The 25,629-nt window shown below is 44.9% G+C and overlaps 1 protein-coding gene across 3 annotated transcripts in view, besides 5 other annotated features; it reads right to left on the reverse strand.

The window, feature by feature from the left end:
• Positions 1–25,629, reverse strand: part of STX8 (syntaxin 8) — a 325,350-nt gene that overhangs the window by 63,343 nt on the left and 236,378 nt on the right. The gene's annotated exons all lie outside the window — the stretch shown is intronic.
• Positions 8,483–8,984: an enhancer, noted in NCBI's record as "NANOG hESC enhancer chr17:9225613-9226114 (GRCh37/hg19 assembly coordinates)". NCBI's record gives its function as "activates a minimal SCP1, AML or CMV promoter by ChIP-STARR-seq in naive H9 embryonic stem cells {active_cell/tissue: H9 hESC(naive)}" and the evidence as "EXISTENCE:reporter gene assay evidence [ECO:0000049][PMID:30033119]".
• Positions 15,365–15,870: an enhancer, noted in NCBI's record as "H3K4me1 hESC enhancer chr17:9232495-9233000 (GRCh37/hg19 assembly coordinates)". NCBI's record gives its function as "activates a minimal SCP1, AML or CMV promoter by ChIP-STARR-seq in primed H9 embryonic stem cells {active_cell/tissue: H9 hESC(primed)}" and the evidence as "EXISTENCE:reporter gene assay evidence [ECO:0000049][PMID:30033119]".
• Positions 15,871–16,376: an enhancer, noted in NCBI's record as "NANOG-H3K4me1 hESC enhancer chr17:9233001-9233506 (GRCh37/hg19 assembly coordinates)". NCBI's record gives its function as "activates a minimal SCP1, AML or CMV promoter by ChIP-STARR-seq in naive H9 embryonic stem cells {active_cell/tissue: H9 hESC(naive)}" and the evidence as "EXISTENCE:reporter gene assay evidence [ECO:0000049][PMID:30033119]".
• Positions 16,377–16,882: an enhancer, noted in NCBI's record as "NANOG-H3K4me1 hESC enhancer chr17:9233507-9234012 (GRCh37/hg19 assembly coordinates)". NCBI's record gives its function as "activates a minimal SCP1, AML or CMV promoter by ChIP-STARR-seq in naive H9 embryonic stem cells {active_cell/tissue: H9 hESC(naive)}" and the evidence as "EXISTENCE:reporter gene assay evidence [ECO:0000049][PMID:30033119]".
• Positions 16,883–17,388: an enhancer, noted in NCBI's record as "H3K4me1 hESC enhancer chr17:9234013-9234518 (GRCh37/hg19 assembly coordinates)". NCBI's record gives its function as "activates a minimal SCP1, AML or CMV promoter by ChIP-STARR-seq in naive and primed H9 embryonic stem cells {active_cell/tissue: H9 hESC(naive and primed)}" and the evidence as "EXISTENCE:reporter gene assay evidence [ECO:0000049][PMID:30033119]".

A 25,629-nucleotide genomic window follows, 5' to 3' on the forward strand; every position in this document is an offset into this window, starting at 1 on the left:
TAGAGACGGGGTTTCACTATGTTAGCCAGGATGGTCTCGATCTCCTGACCTCGTGATCCACCTGCCTCGGCCTCCTAAAGTGCTGGGATTACAGGCATGAGCCACCGTGCCCAGCCTCTCCCTTTAAATTCCCATAACAGTTTACCTATAGGTCTCTCTATTTACTTTAAGTTCTCATAAGAGTTTACCTACATTTCTCTGACATCACTGATCTCATTTGGTTTAACAGTTATTTATATACACGTCTTAACTCCCCTACTGAACTAAGCTTTCTAAGGCAGTGTATATGATCTACTGACTTCTGTATTTTTTTCCCAGCAACCAGTGTAACTCCTTGCTCTCTAAAAATGTTTGATGAATGAAAGATGAATTAACACTTTCATGCCCTCTATTATATCATTTGGTGATTTCCAATGTCCGTGAGGAATAGAATTGCCAGGTAGTCAGCCAATTTGTTTTGAGGTTTATTCTAACCAAAATGCTAAACTTCTAAAAATGCTCATAATTCTGGGTCTTGCTATACTTATACTACAGACTTCCCATTAGATCATGAGATTGGGAATATATATTTTATATCTGTTTTTTTGTTTTGTTTTGTTTTTGAGACGGAGTCTCACTCTCTCTCCCAGTCTGGAGTGCAGTGATATGATCTCGGCTCACTGCAAGCTCCGCCTCCCAGGTTCATACCATTCTTCTGCCTCAGCCTCCCGAGTAACTGGGACTACAGGCGCCCCCACTCCCATGCCCGGCTAATTTTTTGTATTTTTTTTTTTTTTAGTAGAGACGGGGTTTCACTGTGTTAGCCAGGATGGTCTCGATCTCCTGACCTAGTGATCCACCTGCCTTGGCCTCCCAAAGTGCTGGGATTACAGGCATGAGCCACCATGCCCGGCCGCTTATCTTTTATATCTGTATATACCCTGAGGAATATCCTAAGCCCCCCAGCCGACTGAATGGATTCCCCTTGGCCAAGGGTAGCCCAGAGAAGCCTTAAAAAACTGAGTTCCTGGCTGGGCACGGTGGCTTACACCTGTAATCCCAGCACTTTGGGAGGCCGAGGCGGGCAGATCACGAGGTCAAGAGATCGAGACCATCCTGGCCAACATGGTGAAACCCCGTCTCTACTAAAAATACGAACATTAGCCAGTCGTGGTGGCATGCACCTGTAGTCCCAGCTACTTGGGAGGCTGAGGCAGGAGAATCGCTTGAATCCGGGAGGTGGAGTTTGCAGTCAGCCGAGATCGTGCCACTGCACTCCAGCCTGGCGACAACGTGAGACTCTGTCTCAAAAAAAAAAAAAAAACCAACAACAACAACAATAGTAACAAAAACAAGAAAAAAACAAAAACAAAAACAAAAAACAAAAAAAACCTGAGTTCCTGGCCATGACAGGATGGGAAGTCAGACACCTCATTATACCCCCTCCCTCACTAACCACCATAAGGCTTTCTTTCCTAAGAGTTAAAAAAACAAAAACAACAAAAAAAAAAAACAAGCAGCCCTTTTGAGACTTGCTCCACTGCTGATTTACCCAACTGACCAGCATTCCCTCCTGGTAAGAGACCATGGACCATGGACAGGTTCTGGCCAGTTTACAGAGGCTGCACGCAGCATGCTTCTGAGTCTTCCATCTCACCCTTTGATGTAAAGAGCCCAATTCTAATGCATTTAAATGCTAAGTCTCCACCCCAGAGGGAAAATGTGGGATGCGTGTCACATGCATTTGTTTACTACACATGCACAACCCTTTTCATAAATATTCATAACTCCTATAACATGTTGACTATGTATATTTAGCCAACCTGTTCAGCATAAATTCCTGTCTCATGCTTCCCTCTCTCAAAGTGCCTGCTTTTGGTTTCTATCGGAGGCTATGCTTCCCAGCCTGCAGGATGGCCGGCCTACAAAAATAAAGCTGGTGGGCATGGTGGCTCACGCCTGTAATCCTAGCACTTCAGGAGGCTGAGGTAGGCAGACTGCCTGAGCTCAGGAGTTTGAGACCAGCCTGGGTAACATGGTGAAACGCTGTCTCTACTAAAATACAAAAAACATTAGCTGGGTGTGGTGGTGTGTACCTGTAGTCCCAGCTACTTGGGAGGCTGAGGCAGGAGAAAGGCTTGAACCCGGGAGGTAGAGGTTGCAAGTGAGCCGAGATCACGCCACTGCACTCCAGCCTGGGTGATAGAGTGAGACTCCATCTCCAATTAAAAAAAAAAAAAAAGTAATAAAGCTCTCCTTTCCAAGTATATGAACCTCGTGATTCATCAGTTGACACCCCTATAATGTCTACTGTAGGACATGCTCAAAGGACACGTGATGACTTGTCTAAGTTCAGATGTTATCTGGGACATGTGGATGGGCCCTGAACTTTGTCTAAGTATGATACTGTAATTTATAATGAGAAATATATATTTGGCCTTGTTTAATTTCCTGGCAGCTGATCCTAAAACCTTTGGAATCTCTAAAGTGATAAGTGTCTTTCTGAATGTTAATGAGATGATGGCTGACTGGGGGCTCCTAGATAGCATCAGGATGGGGGAACAGAGGAAGCAACTGTATGATTAGGAGGTTTGAACTTTCAGCCCCATCCCATGACCTCCGGGAAGAGGAGAGCAGCTGAAGGTTGAGTTGATCACCAATGGTCAATAATTTAATCTACCATGTTTATGTAATGAAGCCTCCACAAAAACCCAAAAGTACAGGGTTTGGACAGCTTCCAGGCTGCTGACCATGTGGCGGTACTGCGAGGGTGGCATGCCCAGAGAGTGCATGGAAGCTCTGTGCCCCTACCCATACCTTACCCTGTGCATCTCTTATATCTGCCTGTTCATTGTATCCTTTTACAATAAATGAGTAAAGTAAATGAAGTGTTTCTTGGAGTTCCGTGACCCATTTTAAGCAAATAATCGAACCCAAGGAAGGGGTCCTGGGAACCCCCAATTTACAGCTGGTCATTGAGAAATTCCAGACACTTTGACTTGTGATTGACATTTGAAGTAGGGGACAGTCTTAGGGGCCCTGTGAGATTTAACTCTAATTCCAGGTAGATAGTGTCCATTGCATTAAATTACAGGACATCTAATTGGTATCCGCCAGAGAACTGATGAGCAAGGAAAATCATTCACACCTGGTATCAGAAGTGAAGCATTGCGGGTGAGGAGAGTGGAATAGGAAAAGACAGTCGGTTCTTTTTTCCTATCTCACGCACTAAGGTGTCTATAAGATTTCTGTATGATATATTTGTGTAGATGAAAGGAATAAGGGACATTAGACTGGATTTACTCTGGAAAAGATATGATCTAACACAAGAGAGGACAAGAGGCATAAAAGAGCCATAGCTCTGTAACAATGAAGAGAACTGAAAAAGAACCAGTGGTGAAAGAAAGAGCTCTATACATTTCTGGAAGACAGAACGTAAATGGGATAGGGCTGACTACTCAAATCAAGGAAGTAGTACGGCCTAGAAAACACATGAGGAAGAGCCGGCACTGAAGAGGGCACCAACCTGCCAAGCACACCCTTGAGATGTAGAGATGGCAAAGCATGAGTGAGAAATGGGGCTGAAAACAGGATTCACTGAAGATCTTTACACAGACCCTCCCGCTTACCAAGTGATAAAACCGCGCCAGGCAAATAAGTGTCTTATCTATCCACAAAAAGCAAGGCTGTTGGCCGGGCGCGGTGGCTCACGCCTGGAATCCCAGCACTTTGGGAGGCTGAGGCGGGCAGATCACAAGGGCAGGAGATCGAGACCATCCTGGCTAACACAGTGAAACCCCGTCTCTACTAAAAATACAAAAAAATTAGCTGGGCATGGTGGCAGGCACCTGTAGTCCCAGCTACTTGGGAGGCTGAGGCAGGAGAATGTCGTGAACCCGGGAGGTGGAGCTTGCAGTGAGCCGAGATTGCACCACTGCACTCCAGCCTGGGTGACAGTGAGACTCTGTCTCAGAAAAAGAAAAAAAAAAAAAAAAAGTGGGGCTGTTTTCTCTACACAAATCAAGCAAACTATCTCTGGGAGACTGGAGCTGCTAGTGTAGGTAGGTGTTGCTGTCCTAGAACAGAGTCCTCTGCTTTCTGGACCATGTCAGGGTTGGGGCAGGGAGTTTCCCCAGTGACCTGGATGCGAGGCCCATCAATCAGCCAGCTCCATCCACATTTACATAGAGCTTCCCATTGGCCTTTCTACTTCCCAATTCTTACATATGAACTCGCTCTGAAGATACATCACACACTTGAGCAAAGTCTATGGCATGCTATAGAAGGCACAGAATAAGCAAATAGAAAAACTGACTCTAGAGGACACAGAAATAATTTTTTTTAAATACTTCAAGTTCTAGGGTCCATGTGCACAACGTGCAGGTATGTTACATAGGTATTTATGTGCCATGTTGGTTTGCTGCACCCATCAACTCATCATTTACATGAGATATTTCTCCTAATGCTATCCCTCCCCCAGCCCCCCACCCACCAACAGGCCCCAGTGTGTGATGTTCCCCACCCAGGACACAGAAGTAATTCTGATAACAGAAGAGAACTTGAAAACAAAATACAACATGTGGAAGACTCTTGTTAGTATTCTTGAAGAAACTAGAAAAAAATATTGTACCCATAAAAATAATGACAGAATCCAATGGAGAAGGAATAATCTAGAATAAGAAAGAGCACTTGGAAAGTAAATGACCCACACCCTAACCATGTTTTGACATTTCAGAACAGCAACAAAAGAAAGGCCCTAAAAGCTTCCAGAGTGAAAAACGAACAATACGGCAGTAACAAGATAAATAAAAACAGGTCACAAACAAATTGGACTCGTGTCAGAGTTCTCATCAGTACTGGAGATGATCAGACATTAAAGCTCCGAAGATAAACTATTATTTAGAATTCTATACCCAGTAAAACTATCAAGCATGAGGATGGTATAAAGCATTTTTCCACATGTGAGAATTCATAAGGCATACCACTCTTGCCCCCCTGTTTTAGAAGGTTTAGAATATAGTTCAACAAAATGTGAAAACTGTGATAAAAGGGAAAAAATGAGATCAGAGAAACAGAATAATCACACAGGATAACAATGAATAGAAATGCCAGAATGACAAGCAGTTCTCAAAACAGGGGTGCAGAGCCAGTGCGGATTGGAGCAGAAGATAGCATGTAGAAGGGAGCTCTCCAGGAAAATCAATAAAGAGTAAATGACAAACTAGCAAACAACCAAAGAAATAAATGAATAAATACATTCCCCTAGAGATTATCTGATGAATTTTTCCACGTGGAAATTAGTACTGTGAAGCATTTTAAGAGATGTTGATATATTAAAAAATTACCCACAAGTGCATTAAAAACTAAAGAAAATCCCAGGACTTTGGGAGGCCGAGGCGGGCGGATCACAAGGTCAGGAGATCGAGACCGTCCTGGCTAACACAGTGAAACCCTGTCTCTACTAAAAATACAAAAAATTAGCTGGGTGTGGTGGCGGGTGCCTGTAGTCCCAGCTACTCAGGAGGCTGAGGCAGAAGAATGGCGTGAACCTGGGAGGCAGAGGTTGCAGTGAGCCGAGATTGTGCCACTGCACTCCAGCCTGGGCGACACAGCAAGACTCTGTCTCAAAAACAAAAACAAAAACAAAACAAAACAAACACTAAAGAAAAGAAAAAACTGCATTATCGATACCTGGAAAATTTAAGTTATACAATACAGAAAATGCAACAGCAGCACATCATTTGATTCAACAGGAAACAAGATTTACAGTCATATCCCATCCAGACTGGAACAAGAAGCCAGAGGGTTTGAGGATCTTGGTCTCCAGGGAAAAAGGAAGATTCGGTTCAGAAAAAAATTTCAAAATAAAATGAAAGCCGGCCAGGCACAGTGGCTCACACCTGTAATCCCAGCACTTTGGGAGGCCGAGGTGGGTAGATCACGAGGTCAGGAGTTCAAGACCAGCCTGACCAACATGGTGAAACCCTGTCTCTACTAAAAATACAAAAATTAGCCAGGCCTGGTGTCACACACTTGTAATCCGAGCTACTCGGGAGGCTGAGACAGGAGAATCACTTGAACCCAGGGGGCAGAGGTTGCAGGAGCTGAGATCTTGCCATTGCACTCTAGCCTGGGCAACATAGTGAGAGTCCATCTCAAAAATAAATAAATAAATAAATAAAATAAAATAAAAGCAAACTGGAAACTCTAGGAAATACTAAAGGTGATGTTTAAAAAATAAAAAATAAAAATTTTACTGGCCAGGTGCTGTGTGGCTCACACCTGTAATTCCAGCACTTTGGAAGGCCGAGGTGGGCAGATCACGAGGTCAGGAGTTCAAGACCAGCCTGACCAACATGGTGAAATCCCGTCTCTACTAAAAATACAAAAAATAACTGGGCATGGTGGCACGCACCTGTAATCCCAGCTACTGGGGAGGCTGAGGCAGGAGAATCGCTTGAACCCGGGAGGTGGAGGTTACAGTGAGCCAAGATGGCACCACTGCACTCCAGCCTGGGTGACAGAGCAAGACTCCATCTCAAAAAAAAAAAAAAGAAAACAAAAAAAGCTAGCAAATTAAAACATGGCATGGTTTGAAACCAGTGATGGGAAGAAAAGACAATAAATGTTAATATTCTCCTTTGATTACCACAAGGATTATGATTTGGGAATTACAGGGAGGGAAATATCATTAACCATAGCTCATTTCTTGGTATTACACTGTATAATATTCATATACACATAATAATATGAAAGTTATTTACTGGCTCTTAACTTCTGGAACCAACTTAAAGGTACAGTATAGAAATCTTCCTTGTGGCCGGGCATGGTGGCTCACACCTGTAATCCCAGCACTCTGGGATGCTAAAGTGGGTGGATCACCTGAGATCAGGAGTTCAAGACTAGCCTGGCTAACATGGTGAAACCTCATCTCTATTAAAAAAAAAAAAATACAAAAGTTAGCTGGGTGTGGTGGCGTGCACCTCTAGTCCCAGCTAGTCAAGAGGCTGAGGCAGGAGAATCACTTGAACCCAGGAGGCGGAGGTTGCAGTGAGCCAAGATCATGCCACTGCACTCCAGCCTGGGACAGAGCAAGACTATTTTCCAAAAAAAAAAAAGAAAGAAATCTTAATTGTGATCCCAACGGGGCCTCCAAAAAAAAAAAAAAACTTAACTCTAGTTAAATTGGAGTGCAAACGTTATCAACAGCTGATAGAAATGAAGGGCAGAGAGACGAGAGAAGAGGTAGAAGAAAGGTGAGATGGCATACTGTCTATAATCAGTGATACAGGAAAAGGAAATAGAGCTTTAAGTGTATTAAAGTTACAATAGCAATACACAGAGGAATAAAAATAACGACATGGGAAAGGGGAGAGGTATGTAGAGCGTATGAATGAAACCCTATCTATATCAGGAAATCAATAGGTAATGTCTAAAGTTGAAAAATCAAAAATAGGCCAGGCGCAGTGGCTGACGCCTGTAATCCCAGCACTTTGGGAGGCCAAGATGGGCAGATCACCTGAAGTCAGGAGTTCGAGATCAGCCTGGCCAACATGGTAAAACCCTGTCTCTGCTAAAACTACAAAAATTAGCCGGGCGTGGTGGCAGATGCCTGTAATCCCAGCTACTTGGGAGGCTGAGGCAGGAGAATTGCTTGAACCCAGGAGGTGGAGTTTGCAGTGAGCTGAGATAGAAAAAGAAAAAAAATAACACATATAAATATACTACTTATTTATTTATTTATTGAGATAGAGTCTCCCCCTGTCGCCCAGGCTGGAGTACACTGGCGCAATCCCAGCTCACTGCAACCTCCGCCTCCCAGGTTCAAGCGGTTCTCCTGCCTCAGCCTCCTGAGTAGCTGGGATTACAGGTGCACACCACCACCCTGGCTAATTTTTTATATCTTTAGTAGAGACGGGGTTTCACCATGTTGGCCAGGCTGTTCTCAAACTCCTGACCTTGTGATCTGCCTGCCTTGGCCTCCCAAAGTGCTGGGACTACAGGCATGAGCCGCCATGCCCAGCATAAATATACCATTTATTAATATGCAAATAATCGCCAAAAAACAGGAAAAGGAAAAATGGTTCAAACTGATTGACTCTGGAGATCAGGACAGGGGATAAGAAGAGATGGGGCAGGGGCCAGCTGATTTGTTTAAAACTGTGTAGATGCATTATTTAAGTGTGTTAAAAGATTTTCACAGAGTAAACATGTACTCTGGAACCTGAACTTTTTGGCTCATGACTGCTAAGAAATTAACCTTTGACAAGTACTATTGGATTCACTTATTTCTATCAGAATACGTTCGTCCCAGGGCTATCCAGACCCCAGCCAGCAGTACACAAGTCCTCAGCAGTACCCAGATGACATGCCACAGGGCATGATGTGAAGGATGGAGGAAGTATAAATGGCGGGTTAGCGGTCATCTCAGGGAATTTCAACTCTAGGTCATTACAAAGAGGAAGATCTCCCCTGGGCTCACTGCCGGAATAACCCTGGGTCTCACCAGACTTCCATGGTCCTGCTGGACAGAATAAGTAAAATGTCTGATATTTTCCTTTTGAAAGCACTAGGAACAGCTCAAGGATTTGCACAGCAGAATGAAAGAGGAGCTGTCACTGAGTTCCTTAGGACTCACAGCTTGAAAGGAAGGAGGAGGCCCACAGGGGGCCTGAGGACCAAGCCCAGCAGGGGACGCTGAGCACTTCCACAGCCCAGGGGGTGGGACCAGAGCTCTTAAAGCCACAGATCTCCTCTGCAGGCACAGAGACCCTCACAGCAGGGATCCATTCACACCAGTCACCCTTGGAGACTGCTATTTATGCTAAAGAAATTTATCCCACTGCATTGTATGCTTCTTGTCCAGAGTTCTCTTGGATCCCTTGTTTACGGCCTTAGTCTTATATTGTGAGCAGTGGAATGGACAGGCCATTTAAGAGGGCAGGGATGGCTAATGATGGGTCTGTTAGCCCTGCAGTCAGTCTTTCCTTTGTGAACCAAACCCAATTTGGGTGCATTTGCTAAAAAAAAAAAAAAAAAAAAAAAAAAGAGGCAAAACCCTCATTTGAAGTTGAAGAAATGTTAGTTGTATTCCATTCCTTTTATGAGGAAAAAAAAAAACACAAACACACACACTGGAAGAAACCAAAAACTTTATAATATTTATGATCCATTCTTTCGGTGGTCAAAATACATATCCGATTTTTTCAGGTGTAGGTACAAACACTGTAGTTCCTTAAGATTGAGAAGATCTTAAAAAATAGGGGGTCTTTTCATCACTAGAGAGATGCTAATTTTTATCTTGCAAAAAGTAAAGAGAAGCCCCTTCAGAAAATGTTTTCTTTTGAGGCAGAACTTAAACAGATGCCAATGCTTTCATGAATTTTGTGAGCTAAATCCTTATAAATCCTTTGAGTTGACAGATCAATTATTCCTTCTAACAGCTAATGAACTAATAACCCTTGGAAATTTCTCCTTCCTTGGGTTTAAAATAGAAAAAAAGAAAACCTTAGGGGGAAAAAATCAATTAAAGACTACATAGCAATAAGAATCAATTAAACTCATTATAACTTTTTAAAGAGAGCTATATTTTCTTCAAGAGCTATGATTTTTAAATTAAAAACACGTCAAATAACTCTGTATTTTATAAACCACAAATATTCTTAAAACATGTCTTTAATTCACATTGTGTCCAGGCAAAGGAAAGTGAGAAAGGCTAGAAAAACAGAAAAGGAGACAGAGATGGACCTTGCAGAAGGCAATCAGAAGAACGGTGGGATCACGGTGGGATCACCGAATGCCTCTCTGTACAAGGCACCGTGGTAGACTCTCAGGGCACCAGAAAGAGAAAAAGACATACGCACACAGCACTGGAGAAAAAATGAAGAGAAGAGAGAAAGGAAGGGAGATTGCGTTACTCCAGAATGCTCTAGACAACACTGTGAAGAGAGGAGGCCTGTCCTGAGCGTCTTGCTGATAGAAGTGGAGATTAGCAGGAGTTGGCAGAGTCCATATGCTGGGCATTCAAGGAGTTAGGCCCAAACGGGACAATGAGGACCAGAGCAGGTGGCAGAAAGGGAACGAGAAGAATGGGAATGCACGCAGGTGCTGGAGGTGAGCCCTGATCCCAAGAATGAGGTGGTACCTGCTGGGGGAATGGGACACAGGCGCAGTGGGGCGGAGAGGCATCGGTCCTATTTGTGGATCTGACATCATGGCCAAAGATTTTAACAGATGAGAAAACTGAAGCAATGGGAATTTCAGTAAAAGACTTGCTCAAGGTCTCAGGGCATCCCTCTCTCTCTCTCTCTCTCTCTGTCTCTCTCTCTCTCTCTCACACACACACACACACACACACACACACAAACACAAACACACACTCCAGTTGTACGTGTATGTACAAGAAAGTCTGTGCTTTGTTTTTAATTAAGGAACTAGAGCATGATGGTCATCCAGGTACCAGCCCACAAACGCTGCTCTTCCTTCCTGCAGTGCAGTTCTTGGAAGTGAAAAGCAAAGTCTCATTTGAAATTGAGTGAGTGGTCTTTTTTCCAAATTAACAACTCTGGAGGGTGATACCTAGAGAACATGGCGCACATTCCAGGGGATGCTGACAGTTCTCCACCCTGTGAGCTCCTGGTGCGCAGTGTGATGGGGTGTAAAGAAAGGGAAACCTAAGAGTCAGAAGAGGCCAGGTGCGGTGGCTCCTGCCTGTAATCCCTGCACTTTGGGGGGCTGAGGTAGGAGGATCACCTGAGGTCAGGAGTTCGAGACCAGCCTGGGCAACATGGTGAAACCCTGTCTCTACTAAAAATACAAAAAAATTAGCTGGGCGTGGTGGCAGGCACCTGTAATCCCAGCTACTCGGGAGGCTGAGGCAGGAGAACTGCTTGAACCCGGGAAGTGAAGGTTGCAGTGAGCCATGATTGTACCACTGCACTCCAACATGGGTGACAAGAGCAAAACTCCATCTCAAAAAAAAAAAAAAAAAAAAAAGAGAAGAGCTGGGTCAGCATCACAGCTCCACTCTTATTTGGCCTCAGTTGCTCTGACTATAACAGGGATACGAATGGTCCCTGACCATGGTTCCACTTACAAATTTTTGACTTCGAGATGATGCAAAGGCAATATGCATTCAGTAGAAACTGAATTTTGAATTTTGTTATTTTCCTGGGCTAGTGATATGTGGTATAGTACTCTCTTGTGATGCCAGGTGGCAGCAGCAAGTACAGCTCCCAGCCAGCCACATGATCATGGGAGTAAACAACCAGTATTGTACTCTGTGATGTACTGTGTTGCCAGATGATCTTGCACAACTGTGGGCTAATGTAAGTGTTCTGAGCACCTTGAAGATAGGCTAGGCCGAGCTATGATGTTCAATAGATTAAGGGTATTAAAAGCGTTTTCAACTTAACGATATTTTCAACTTAAGATGGGTTTATTAGAACATAACCCCCTCATAAGTCAAAGAGCATCTGTAATTATAGTTATACCTCAAGTTGTGAATAGGAATAAACCAACCATAGTTTATTCCTATGGTGATAAACCAAACTATTCATAAGGGCTTATAAGGTATGTATAGTGTATGAATGAAACCCTATCTATATCAGGAAATCCCCAAGACCCATCTATGGACTTGTGGCCCTGTTAAGGTAAAGCTAGGGCCAGCTTTATGGGTGTGTGACCCTCAGAGATGACACAGGGTTCCCATGTTAAAGGGGGCCCATGCTTGATTCAACACTCTGCTGTTGCCATCTTGACATTCTTGATAATTTCCGAACAAGGGGCCCTGCATTTTCATTTTGCGATGGGCTGCGCGAATTACATAGTTGGTCCTGGGTAAAGTCACTTGGTTCAGTGGGAAGAGCTCAGGAAGGTTTCCATCTTTGGCAAATACTTCCCAGTAGACTGGAAGTTTGCAGTGAACATGTGTTTGCTTTCCAGCTGAACCCATTTCTTACATTTGAGGAACGCTTCACCATACGGGTCTTGGCAAGAGGCAGGGCCACATGGGCCAGATACTGGCATTCCTCAGCCTTCCTACCAGCTAGAGCGTGGCCAGCCAGGTGCAATGACTCTGGAGTGTGCAATGCTTAAAGTATGAAAGGAGAGTGGAAAATTCACTTTGGTGATGGCAGCAGTGGCATCAATTATCTAGGGACATAAATGGCAGCCCCCAGCTATGGTCTCTGGTGTCCAGCGCTAGCCATGCTAGCTAGTGGGAAAAGGTTGGGGGTCGGGAGGCATCCAGCAGTGTGTCAATGAGATCCTCCACTAGATGGGTCTGTGATGAGGTTGCAGTCTTGGTTTTAGCCACCTTTGGTTCTTCCCTGTTTCCTTTTTTTTTTTTTCTTTTTGAGACAGGGTCTCACTCTGTCATCCAGGCTAGAGTGCAGTGGCACGATCATGGCTCATTGCAGCCTTGACCTCCTGGGCTCAGGTGATTCTCCCACCTCAGCCTGCCGAGTAGCTAGGACTACAGGTGCCTGTCACCATACCTGGATAATTTTTGTAGAGACAGGGTTTCACCGTGTTGCCCAGGCTGGTCTCAAACTCCTGGGCTCAAGTGATCTGCTTGCCTCAGCCTCCCAAAGCGCCAGGATGACAGGTGTGAGCCACTGTGCCCAGCTTCCTTCCCTGTTTTCTAGCCTGTTCATCTAGTCTTCTTGGTGATTTGCTTTTCAAATTACTCAGTGTTCTTTCGATAAATTCCTTTTGCACTTATGTGGTCAGAGATGGTTTCTGTTGCTCATAGCTACGAGCTTTTTCTGATATAAAGTTGGACTCTGGTGGAGTTACGACCCTGATCATCCTTTGGCTGAGAGGCAGAAAATGGGTCCTGTGTCCTGAGGCAGAACTTGTCGGCCACATGTCCCTGGTGATAAGACACTAGTGCTTATGCATTCCAACACAGAAGGGACATGGGAGACTGCATGGGTGGAAAGGCACAATATCTTTCCTCACCCATTAGCAGGGTCATGGCTGACATTCCTATAACAAGGATGGGTTAAGAAGACAGAGGCATAACAGATTTATTTAATCAGTGTTTTACTTGACACAGGAGCCTTCAAAAATGAAGATCTAATGGCTGGGCATGGTGGCTCACGCCTGTAATCCCAGCAGTTTGGGAGGCTGAGGCGGGCAGATCACCTGATGTCGGGAGTTCAAGACCAGCCTGACCAACAGAGAAACCTCATCTCTACTAAAAATACAAAATTAGCCGGGCGTGATGGTGCATGCCTGTAATCCCAGCTATTCGGGAGGCTGAGGCAGGAGAATCGCTTGAACCTGGGAGGCGGAGGTTGCAGTGAGCCGAGATCACGCCATTGCACTCCAGCCTGGGCAACAAGAGCTAAACTCTGTCTCAAAAAAAAAAAAAGAAGAAGAAGAAGGAAGAAGAAGGAAGAAGGAAGAAGGAGGAAGAAGGAGGAAGAAGGAGGAAGGAGGACAGAGGAGGAAGGAGGAAGGAGGAGGAGGAAGGAGGAAGAAGGAAGAAAGAAGAAGAAGAAAGAAAGAAGAAGAAGGAAGAAGGAGAAGAGAAGGAGAAGGAGGAGGAGGAGAAGGAGAGGGAGAGGGAGAAGGAGGAGAAGGAGGGGGAGAGGGAGAAGGAGAAGAAGAAGAAAAAGAAGATCCAAAGACTCAGGGAAAACTGTCTATTTCTATGCTTAGGTTGGATGTGAATGGACAGCTATGTAGAAATGTGACTGGACAACAAGGGGTATGATCTAATGTTGATGGACAGAGAGGGGAAGCACAGTAAGGCCCGTCTGTTTGGATTCTTCCTGGTCTCTCTGTGTGGCATTCCTTCCACCTGGGTACAGGGCAGGACCTCTCTGGAAACAGGGGTCTTATGTCCTACTTTTAGACAAGGTAGGGCAGAGAATTTTTTTCTTTCTGTTTCTGAGATGAAGTCTCACTCTGTCGCCCAAGCTGCAGTGCAGTGGTGCAATCACGGCTCACTGCAGCCTCCACCTCCTGGGCCTGAGTGATCCCCCTGCCTCAGCCTCCTGAATACTGGGACTACAGGTGTGCACCACCACACCCAGCTAATTTTTCTCCTTCCTTCCTCCCTTCCTCTCTTTTTTCCTTCCTTCCCTTCTTCCCTCCCTCCCTCCCTTTCCTTCCTTTCTTCCTTCTGTCCTTCCTTCCTTCCTCCCTCTCCTTCCTTCTTTCCTTCTCCCTCCTTCCTTCCTTCTTTTGTCTCTCTCTTTCCTTCTCTCTCATTCTTTCTCTTTCCTCCTTTCTCTCTCTCCTCTCCCCCCACCCCCTCTCTCTTTCTTTCTTTTCTTTTCTTTCTTTCTTTCAGAGCTAGATCTCACTATGTTGCCCAGGCTGGTCTTGAACTCTTGGCCTCAACTGATCCTCCACCTCCAGAGAATTTATTTATAACCAGCTCTTACACAGAAAGGTGGTGATAGGTTAGAGTTATATACCTAGGTTTTTGTGGCTGGTATTGGAGAAGTTGGGTTCTAGTTTCTATGGCCTGCCTTGAAGAGGGATTCTACTTTCTGTGGCCTGTCTTGGGGAAAAGGGAAGGAAGAAAAAGAAGAGCAGGAGAGGGTCAGAAAGAGACAGCCTTTGAGGCCCTTCCAAAGTCCTTCAGTTCAAAGTACTCAGCATGCCAAAGTGCTACACTTTGGGTCATCGTTTTCCGAGCCCCAACAAGGTCATCTGGTCCACACTCCTTCTGAACGTGGGAATCCTTTATGAATAATTCAGGATCTGAATAGCATTCAACAAAAGATGCTACTGAAAACCACAGTGTGTGCTAAGCAGAAAGACTTGATCACGGGTGACAAACGCTGAGGTTGGCCAGCTCCCAGTTGTACTGTTCAGGGTCAATGGCCCTCTTAGGGCTGTAAGGATATCCCTAACTGTCATCAAATTGTCAAGGCTAAAGTTCAGGGAAATCCACCTCACTCATGGCCAAATATAAAATGTCATTCCTTCAGACATGTAATTAAGATGGTGGCTGAGGCCGGATGCGGTGGCTCACGCCTGTAATCCCAGCACTTTGGGAGGCTGAGACGGGTGGATCACCTGAGGACAGGAGTTCAAGACCAGCCTGGCCAACATGGTGCAACTCCATCTCTACTAAAAGTACAAAAATTAGCCGGCTGTGGTGACAGGCACCTGTAGTCCCAGCTAGTCAGGAGTCTGAGGCAGAAGAATCACTTGAACCCAGGAGGTGGAGGTTGCAGTGAGCTGAGATCGCGCCACTGCACTTGAGCATGGGCGACAAGAGCGAGATTCCATCTCAAAAAAAAAAAAAAAAAAAAAAAAAAAAAAAAAGATGGTGTCTGAGTCCCTAATGAATTCCCAGAGCATAATGGGACTAAGGTGCTCTGGGATTCTGAAATCTACAGACTACCTAGAAAAGTTCCCACAGAAACATTATGGCCATAGCGAAAACAAAACACGAAAACCAAAAACAACCAAAGTGCCAAACATCTGCATTGAGGATGCTACAGGAAATTACTTTCACCTCCTTTTATAGGCATGTTCAATCAATGGCAACAATATTCTACATTTTGCTAAGGGCTGAAGGAAGAGAAAAGAGAGTCAGGACCAGCTCATTTTCCAACACTTGAAATGAACTCCTGGCTGAAACTAAATCACTCGCTCTCTGGCATCACGGCTATTTCTACAGTGCCACTTGGCTGGCTGGGTGATTTTCCAGTCACTGGGTGAGGGACACTGGATCCAGGACAGGGCCATGAGCGTGTTAAGAGCAGAAAGACCCAATTATGAAGAATCCCCTGGAAAGCCCACAATGTAGCCCACCCACCTGGGTCTGAATGGCAGGCATGTGAGCAGAGGCAGAAAAGCTTCGGTGCCAAATGGGGGAGGATGCAGAGCCACTTCGAGTCCCATCGGACCACTCAGGCCGTTGCAGCTGGAGCTGCCTGCCTGAGGCAAAGTAATGCCAAAGTGAGCGGTAGGAGCCCGTCACAGCCAAGCAAATGGCAACTGGACAGAGTTGGCCAAGGGCTGCCAGACATGATAGAGCAGGGAAAGAGGCAGAGATGAGGGAATAAGGCAGCTGTCATTTATTTGGGAGGGAAGAGGTTGGATCCTGTAAGGGCAATAGGGTGGAGGGGAGGGAGAGGGCTCAGAGGGCCTAGGGTCAGATTGGAAGCAGCAGACCCCGAAGCGTGCTGATCCTGAGGCAGAGGGTGCAGCTGGTCATAGCTAAGAGGAAGGTGAAGGTGTGCAGGCCCCTTGCTCAGAGGGGAGCAGAGGGCAGAGGTGCGATACCCTGGGAGGTCCCGCGGCTTCAAAGGGAAAGGGAGAGGATGGGCAGGGAGAGAGAAACAGGAGGCAGAGTCCCTCCGTAAGCTTTCCCAAGTGAGTAAAGTACTCATACCCAGGGCTTTATTTGAATTTATCACCTCTTATTAGTGTCTTTTGAAATGCGAATTAGCTGATTAACCACTGCTCACAGCCTTCCAACTGTTCTTTATTCTCCAGCATTCAGCAACTTTGTTCTAAATAGGGTAGGCCACAGTAGCCCACCAGGGGGAAATTATTCTCAAGGTTACAAGAACAGCGACCAAGGCAAAATTAGGCCCTGGCCTGGATGGAATCAAGTTGGGAGTGAGGTTGTGCCTGGAGCCAGGCTCTAACCACTCCCACCCCCCAACCCGGTCTACACACAAAGCCTCCGAGGATGCTGGTTACCCTGGTGTTAGTCCATCCTTGCGATGTATGAACAGGGCTCTGGGGAACAAGATACACACTCTTCTGCCCCCTACCACTTTTTTGTTGATGATCACCATTTTCTAAAAGGTTTATTAGTTCTAGGTCCCTCAGGAATGCCCGTGCACTGGCTTCGGCTTTCTGTTTGGGACGTGGGTTCACGTTTACGAACAACAAGGGATGGCCCCTGGCAGAGCCTCGTTCGCACTCGCTCCTGCCTCCAGTTTGGCAACACAACACAAAGGCGGTATGGCTTGTATACACTTTCCAGGCTGAGCCCCTATTCAGAGGGGGCTGCAGCTTGCGCGTAATGGGCCCCCTACAGACAAAGCCAGCAAGTTTCTTAATTAAGTCTAAGTGAAAGACAGATCCCGCTTACATCTTCAGAGAACCTTCCTTCAGAACTTCAAAAACAGCCTAGACTGCCTATCAAATCCAGGCACGAATAACTAGCTAGCAATTTTTTCTCTTTTTAAATATAGAAAGCCAGGCCTCCGGCGCCAACTCTTCAACCCCCTCTCACTTTCCCTGCAATTTTAGACATGCCTCTGGTTTATAAAACAGGAAACAAAGGGACTTCTTGTGTGTCGGAGAAGCCCTCAGAGGGCCTGCATTTCATTCCGGCCTTCCCCAAAGCACTGTGCTGTCTAAAGAGCTCTTTAACTGGTTTAGTCTCATTACCATTTCCATGAGGTATCAAAGGATACGCTACGAAACCAGCATATGTACATATATCACATAAGGACACATCCTGTTACGCAACGATATTAAAAAATTAATTATTAGCTAATTGCCTTTTCAGAAATGTGATTTTTCACATCCCTCCCTCCCCTCCCCCTCCACCCTAGCCCCAGAAACCCTCTCTCAGACAGACCTTTCTGTTTTCTGGGCTTTGCTGTGATAATGTTCCTTGCAAACAGAAACCAATTATTCTGCAGCAGTAAGTCACCAGGAGTATGAATTGCTTTAATTTTTCCCCCTTTTAGCAGCTGCCCAGGGTGGGTTGCGAGGTGGCTGCAGTAATGAAGCTGGGATGAATACTAAAGCAGGACCGAGGCCGGGTGTCCTGCAGGGAAAATGATGTTCAAAAATAAAAGTGCGTTTTTGTTGGGAGAAGCTAATCAATGAATTGGACGTTTCCAAAAAATGTGCTTTCCGCTCTCAATTTGCATCGCCAATGCTGCTTTCCCCAATGAGTCCTGTGCACCTGACTAGCTTGTAAAAATGTCACCTTACTGTTAAAGTGCTAAACACGCCCTGTTTTTCCTCCGCCTGTTCTCTCTCTCCCTCCCCCCTCTCTGCCTTTTTCCTTCTGCAATTCTTTGCTTTCTCATTAGAAATGCCCAGCAACGTCTGGCAGACAAAGACACTGCAAACAAAGTGTATGGAAAGGAAAAAAAAAATTAAAAGGGAAAAAAGTGCAGAGGAATTCTTCATTCACGGATCTGTAGAATACATTAATATCTGAAACTGTTGGCACAGCCTAAAATACTTGGGCGGCTAACAATGCGGGCAATGATTCCGAGTCTGGGATCTTCAAATAAACCCCAGCGCTGTCATGGCCACCAGGAAGGAGAATAATGGCGATATTAGCTGACCTTCATTTTGTTGTTTCTTCAGTCCTGACTGCTGGACCTCTGTTTGCTTGTTACTAGGATTTCTTAGCTGAAAAATTTTAGCATTTCCCAGGCAATACAAGAGCCAGTTTATTAGGTAAATAAACCAGGCCTTAAGCAGTCTTTTCTGCTCCATAATGGGAAATGGGCAAATTGGAACGAGGGTTGAGTTGGAGTCAGGGAGAATGACTCAGAGGCAGAGATCTCATCATTTCCCCCTCATCCAAAACACCAATGAACAATGCGGACGGAGTTAACAAATCATCAGATCGACGTGCTGCCTTTGGTTAACTTAACCAACATCATCCACCAAGTAAGGAAGACAAGATTCACAAAAGGAAGGGACAAAAATAGCGGCTTTCTTCTTCTAGAGACCTAGATCTGTAATGACATTTCACTTCTCCCAAGGTTCCAAGGAACTGGAGACTATTTTATAATTCATCCAAATGGAGCTAATGGTGCTATGTTTCAGTCATCTGTCATAAATGCTTAAACATTCTTATGTTATTCAAACCATTGTCTAGTGACAATCTTAACGATGTTAATAAAATCAGTAATGCAGAACTGGATCCTTTTTCAGAGTCTCTACATCCAGAGGGCCTTCTGGCTGTCTAGACTGTAACACAATTGGTAATTATTACATTTATGTGTGCCTGCTTACTGTTTACTATCTCGATTCCCTCCCCCAACTGCAATATAAGCTCCCTGAGGGCAGGGACCACCATTGTATCCTACCTCACCCAACACAGTGCCTAGCACCCAAGACGTATTTGCCTAGGGAGGTAATGATATTTTTGGCTACCTTTGGGGAAATGCATCCCATCTTTAAAAGCTTTCAGCTGCCACGCCCAAGGGCTTCAAGATGAGAACGAGACACAATACTTCTTAAAGCAGAGTATTCCCCTACCGAGAATGAAGATATGCGTCCAAGTTTCCTGTCGCTTCCAGCTTTCAATTCTTTTTTAACTGTGCTTTCTTTTGGGATTAAAAAATAATAATCTCAATTTTTAGATTCAGGAGGTACATATACAGATTTGTCACATGGGTATATTGTGTGACACTGAGGTTTAAGGTACGAATGATCCCCTCAGCGAGGTAGTGAGCACAGTATCCAATAGGTGGTTTTTCAGCCTTTGCTCCCCTCCCTCTCTCCCCCACAATAGTCCCCAATGTCTTTTGTTCCCATCTTTATGTCCATGTGTATTCAATGTGTATCTCCCACTTATAAGTGAGAACACATGGTATTTGGTTTTCTGTTCCTCTAGCTTTCAAATTAAAATAACTTATTTTATTTTTTTTGAAACAGAGTCTTGCTCTGTCACCCAGGCTGGAGTGCAGTGGCATGATCTCGGCTCACTGCAAGCTCCGCCTCCCGGGTTCACGCCATTCTCCTGCCTCAGCCTCCCGAGTAGCTGGGACTATAGGCGCCCGCCACCACGCCCAGCTAATATTTTGTATTTTTTTAGTAGAGATGGGGTTTCACTGTGTTAGCCAGGATGGTCTGGATCTCCTGACCTTGTGATCCGCCCGCCTTGGCCTCCCAAAGTGCTCGGATTACAGGCGTGAGCCACGGCGCCTGGCCTAAAATAACTTATAATAAACACTTGCTTCAAGCAGGAGGTCATGTAAATAGATATAACACACACATGTTTTTTAAAAGTTACACAGTCATTTTGTTGGAAAACATGGAAGACATAGAAATTTTTCAGACTGCCTAACTGCTCAATGGGTTCACCTTACCCAATTTGTAACTGCCCAGTGGGTTCACCTTACCTGCTGCCTAGACAGAGCCGATTTCTCTAGACAGGGGAATGGCAATAGAGAAACAGTAATTATCACAGAACCGGCTGAGCAGGAGACTGGAGTTTTATTATTACTCAAGCCAGTCTCCCTGAACATTTGGGGATCAAGGTTTTAAAAAACAATTTGGTGGGAGGGGAGGGGCAGTGAGCTGGGGAGTGCTGATTGGTTGGGTCGAAGGTGAAATCATGGGTCGTCCCTGTCTTCTTGCACTGAGTCAGTTCCTGGGTGCGGGGGGGTGTGGGGGTGGGGGGCAGTCACAAGATCAGATGGGCTGGTTTCTCAATCTGGGTGGTGCCGGTTGATCCATCAAGGGTAGAGTCTGGAAACCATCTCAAGTCCTGACTGTAGGAGCAGTTTAGGGAGGGCCAGAATCTTGTAGTCTCCAGCTACATGACTCCTAAAGCATAACTTATAATCTTGTGGTTAATGTTAGTAGTCTAGTCCCCAGGCAAGAAGGAAATTTTTTCTGGAAAAGAGCTACTATCATCTTTGTTTTAAACTTTTAAAACTATAAACTAAGTTTCTCCCAACGTTAGTTCAGCCTAAACCCAGGAATGAACAAGGACAGCTTGGAGGTTAGAGGCAAGATGGAGTCGTTTAAATTGGACCTCTTTCACTGTCTCAGTCATAATTTTGCAAAGGCGGTTTCGGCTTGGGAAGTGAGAAAAGTAAGTCTCGAAGTATGCAGGATATGATCCCAAAATGGTTGAAAGGAATAAAAAAGACAATACATGTTTGCTTAGTTTTGTTGCTGCTATAACAGAATATCACAGACTAGGCATCTATCAATGGAAGAATTTATTTGGCTCATGGTTCTGAAGGCTGGGAAGTACAAGAACATGGCACTCTGATGAGGGTCAAACCAGGTGGAAGGGTGGAAGGCATAAATGAGCACATAAGACAGACAGGAAAAGGGGGCTGAATTCCCTTGATAAGTGTTAAATACAGTGAGTTCTAAATTTCCCGTCAAAGAATCAGTATGTCAGTATGTTCAGTTCTTTGTTCTCCATTTTAAAGTTTAACTTTCTCATTCTCCTTGCCCCTAGTTTCAGTAAACAACCTTTTCCACCATTTCTAATCAGTAGTTCACATCTATTTCCTGGTCACCGCTTCGATCTGAGTCACCCCTGGTCACCTGCTCTGACCTGAGTCACCTGTTCCTAACTGTTCTTCCCATCAAACTATTCACCCCACCACTCTGACTCATACCCCTGCTCTCTTTAAAATAGCCAATCGGAATTAGCTTAGACTGTGTGATCCAACCCTAGCCAATAGGGGAACAACACAGCAGCAGGGGTTACCTGCGTCAGGAATAAAAACCCCTTCCCCTCTCTTGTTCAGCTGTGCTCTCACCATTGCTCCATCTGCAAGTCACACTCTTCTACAGAAGTAAAATTGCCTTGCTGAGAAAATTAAATTTATGTTTGAGTGCTATTTCTTTTGCGGCACTGAAAATTTATTTCTAACATAAGTAACCCACTTGGTGATAACAGCACTAATCCACTGATGAGGGCACGGCCCTCATGATCTAATCACCTCTTAAAGGTCTCACCTCTTAAGACCATCATAATGGCAATCAAATGTCAATGTGAGTTTTGGCAGAGACATTCAAACCACAGCACATGTAGACACGCTATATGCATTCATAGAAAAAAAACTGGAAAGATACACCCAAACTGTTAGTAGTCATGATTTGTAGGAAGTGAATTTTTATTTTGTTTATTGTTCTTTATGGTACCATTTTTCTACAGTAAATTGATTATTTTTTAAAATCAGAAATAACCTTCAATAAGTTTTTTTAAAAAAGATAATATATGAGCTAGATCTTTACCTCAAGAATTTCGAAAAATAAATTATAGTTACACTAATACAACCATGGCATTCAAGGTGGGCTCTCTCTCTCTCACACACACACACACGTAGACACACACACACACACTCACACTCACGTAAATATACTCACATGAACATAAATACCTAAAGCTATACATAAAGCTCTATAGGAACATTTCTGGGGGGTTATATGGCTATGTGTTTATTGATTTCTTGAGACAAAACTGCTCTGGGCATCTCAGGGAAGTTTTCTCTTTCTTAGCTTGAAGCAACCAGGTATCACATTTCTGGGTTTTAAAAGAGATTATATTCAAGGATGCTCTATTACTTTGAATAGGCGAAACATTCCAGGCTGATGGGAATTCATACCTGTCAACAGCTGTGAATTAGCATTTCAAACCCCTTCTAATGTGACTTATGAACTTTATCGGTATGAGGATTCAACACCTTGTAGAAAAGCAAGTGCTGAATGCAAACCAGGGTGAAAATGCTTTCTGCTAGGGAGTAGAAGCCTAAAGGAATGATCAAGATCCATCTGCCAAGAACAACTTCACAGGTGGATAGGTGCAAAACGACCATGCCAGGAATGAGGAAAATAGACAATACTTTAGATTTCTTTCCTTTCTTTCCTTTCCTTCCTTTCTTTCTCCCCTTCCCCTTCCTCCCTTCCTTCCCCTTCCTTCCTTCCCCTTCCTTCCTTCTTTCTTTCTTGAGATGGAGTCTCACTCTGTGTCCCAGGCTGGAGTGCAGTGGCACGATCTCAGCTCACTGCAACCTCCGCTTCCCAGGTTAAAGCAATTCTCCTGCCTCAGCCTCCCGAGTTGCTGGGACTGCAGGCGCCCGCCAACACGTCCAGCTAATTTTTGTGTTTTTAGTAGAGATGGAGTTTCACCATATTGGCCAGGCTGGTGTCGAACTCCTGATCTTGTGATCCACCCACCTCGGCCTCCCAAAGTGCTGGGATAACAGGTGTAAGCCACCGTGCCCAGCCTACTTTCAATTTCTAACTGGGTATTTAGAGGGGTAGTAAATATAGCTAGAAAAAAAAAGCTTCAGGGTGAAATGGTATGTTTGATATTTACTCACCAAGGTCTTCCCCTTTTATTATCACTTTTTGTTAGTTTCCATTCTTATTCCTACAAGGCCACAGCCAGAAGTGGGTGCAGGAGAAATGAAGTTCTGAACATTTGAATGAATGCCTATTTCAATTCCAATCATTCCCTGGAAAATGTTAAGTTTAAAGTAAAATGGAATGAGGTAGTCCTAACAGCTCAGGAAACAATAAAAGGGAACTGAGAGCTTTACACGTCAGAAAAACTCTCAGACAATGCCTAAGAGGATTGGAAAGAAATTTCTAAAACATGTCGTCCCTACAAACACACATGAAAAACTATCTTGAGAATTCCACAGGAAAATATACATCCATTTAAAAAAGAAACTTTGAAGCACAAAAATTAAAGAGAAAAGGCTTTTTCCCAGAATACAAAACACTGCTTGAGTTGTGGAAGAAAAAGAGCTCATTAGTATTTCAAAGGAGGTTGATAACTTATTTCAATGTCCATACTGGGATAGAGGATGAGCCAAGTAGTATACTCCTCAAAATCCTAGGGACCACTTACTCTCCTCTGCCATCTCTTATTTTATTTCTTTTTTTGAGATCGAGTCTCATTCTGTTGCCCAGGCTACAGTGTAGTGGTGTAATCTCAGCTCACTGCAACCTCCACCTCCTGGGTTCAAGCGATTATCTTGCCTCAGCTGGGATTACAGGCACACGCCACCATGCCCCGCTAATTTTTGTATTTTTAGTAGAGACGGGGTTTCACCATGTTGGGCAGGCTGATCTCGAATTTCTGACCTCAGGTGATCTGCCCGCCTTGGCCTCCCAAAGTGCTGGGATTACAGGCGTAAGCCACTGTGCCCGGCCAGAACCTGCGTATTAACAAGATCCCCAGATACTGCGTCTGTGCTGTTCTGGAGGACATACCATCCCAAATCAACCCTGAAGGACTGAAAAGTTAGTGAAGGGAAATGCGGGATAGAAAAGAGGGCAGGTATTCTGGGTAGAGGCGGGAATGTGTACAAGGCCACCAAAATAAAGGAAAGCCAGGGATGCCAACTGTTCAGGGTGGCTGGATCCTAGTCCATGGAAGAGAAAAAGAAAGTGTGTATTGAGAAAGGGTGCAGTGTGGCCAACGGGGAAGGAAGTGAAGGAAGATTCGGCCTGAGACTAGATCCTGCTAGGCTACGGAAACCAGTGCTGAGGAGTTTGGACTTTATTCTGAGGGCTTTGGGGCACCTCTGAAGGATTTTTTTTTTTTTTTTTTTTTTGAGATGGAGTCTCACTCTTGTCGCCCAGGCTGGAGTGCAATGGTGTGATCTTGGCTCATTGCAACCTCCGCCTCCCGGGTTCAAATTATTCTCTTGCCTCAGCCTCCAGAGTAGCTGGGATTACAGGTGCCCGCCACCACGCCCGGCTAACTTGTGTATTTTTAGTAGAGATGGGTTTTCACCATGTTAGCCAGGCTGGTCTCAAACTCCTGACCTCAGGTGATCCGCCTACATCAGCCTCCCAAAGTGCTGGGATTACAGGCGTGAGCCACAGCGTCCAGGTATTCTGAAGGGTTTTTAAACTGAGGAGTGACTTGATCAGATCCCCTGAAGACACATGGTGCTTCAGCTCATTCCACTCCTGAGTAATTCCTTACTCATTTCAAACTACCAAGAGTCCACCCATTTTGTCTGTGCTAACTCAAGTCTCTTCCAGTCATGGTGGCTGGAACTGATCTGTTTCTCAACCCTCAACTCCTGCAGCACTGTGGATGGACCACTCACATGGTCTTTGTCATGGCCACTCCATTTCTGCAGTGAGATTTTTGTCTACTCTCTTCTACTGATACAGCATAGCTTTTCAAAGAACAGTTTCCAAGGACCACCTATTTCAGGATCATCTGAGGGTATTTAATAAAATCAATTTCCAAGGCCCAAGACCCCCTGAATCGGTATCTCTGTGTGTGGGGCCCAGATGTTTGCATTTTAAAAAACATTCCAGTCAGATGACGTGGCTTACGCCTGTAATCCCAGCACTTTGGGAGGCTGAGGCGGGTGGATCACAAGGTCAGGAGATCGAGACCATCCTGGCTAACACAGTGAAACCCTGTCTCTACTAAAAATACAAAAAATTAGCTGGTTGTGGTGGCGGGTGCCTGTAATCCCAGCTACTCCAGAGGCTGAGGCAGGAGAATGGCGTGAACCCGGGAAGCGGAGCTTGCAGTGAACAGAGATCATGCCACTGCACTCCAGCCTGGTTGACAAAGCGAGACTCCGTCTCAAAAAAAAAAAAAAAAAAAAATTCCAGGTGAAGCTCTTAAATATGAAAGCCAGAGAATCACAGTATAAGACTACAGCATCCTGAGACCCAGAGCCATCCCAGAAACCCTAGAATCAGACACCGCACCTCTGTCTACAACCTTGGCATGCGGCTGCTCAGGGAGACAAGTAAACGAAGTGTTTTAAATTCCTCTCTCTACTCATTCTTGATTACATAACTAATCAAAATGCTTCCAAAAACCAACCAACCAATCAAGAAAACTTCTAGGAACTTAATTAACTCCAGTATAAAAGGACTCCTCAGGCCGGGTGCAGTGGCTCACGCCTGTAATCCCAGCACTTTGGGAGGCCGAGGCAGGTGGATCACGAGGTC

The sequence above is a fragment of the Homo sapiens genome, chromosome 17, assembly GCF_000001405.40.
Source record: "Homo sapiens chromosome 17, GRCh38.p14 Primary Assembly".
In the NCBI taxonomy this organism is placed as follows: Eukaryota; Metazoa; Chordata; class Mammalia; order Primates; family Hominidae; genus Homo; species Homo sapiens.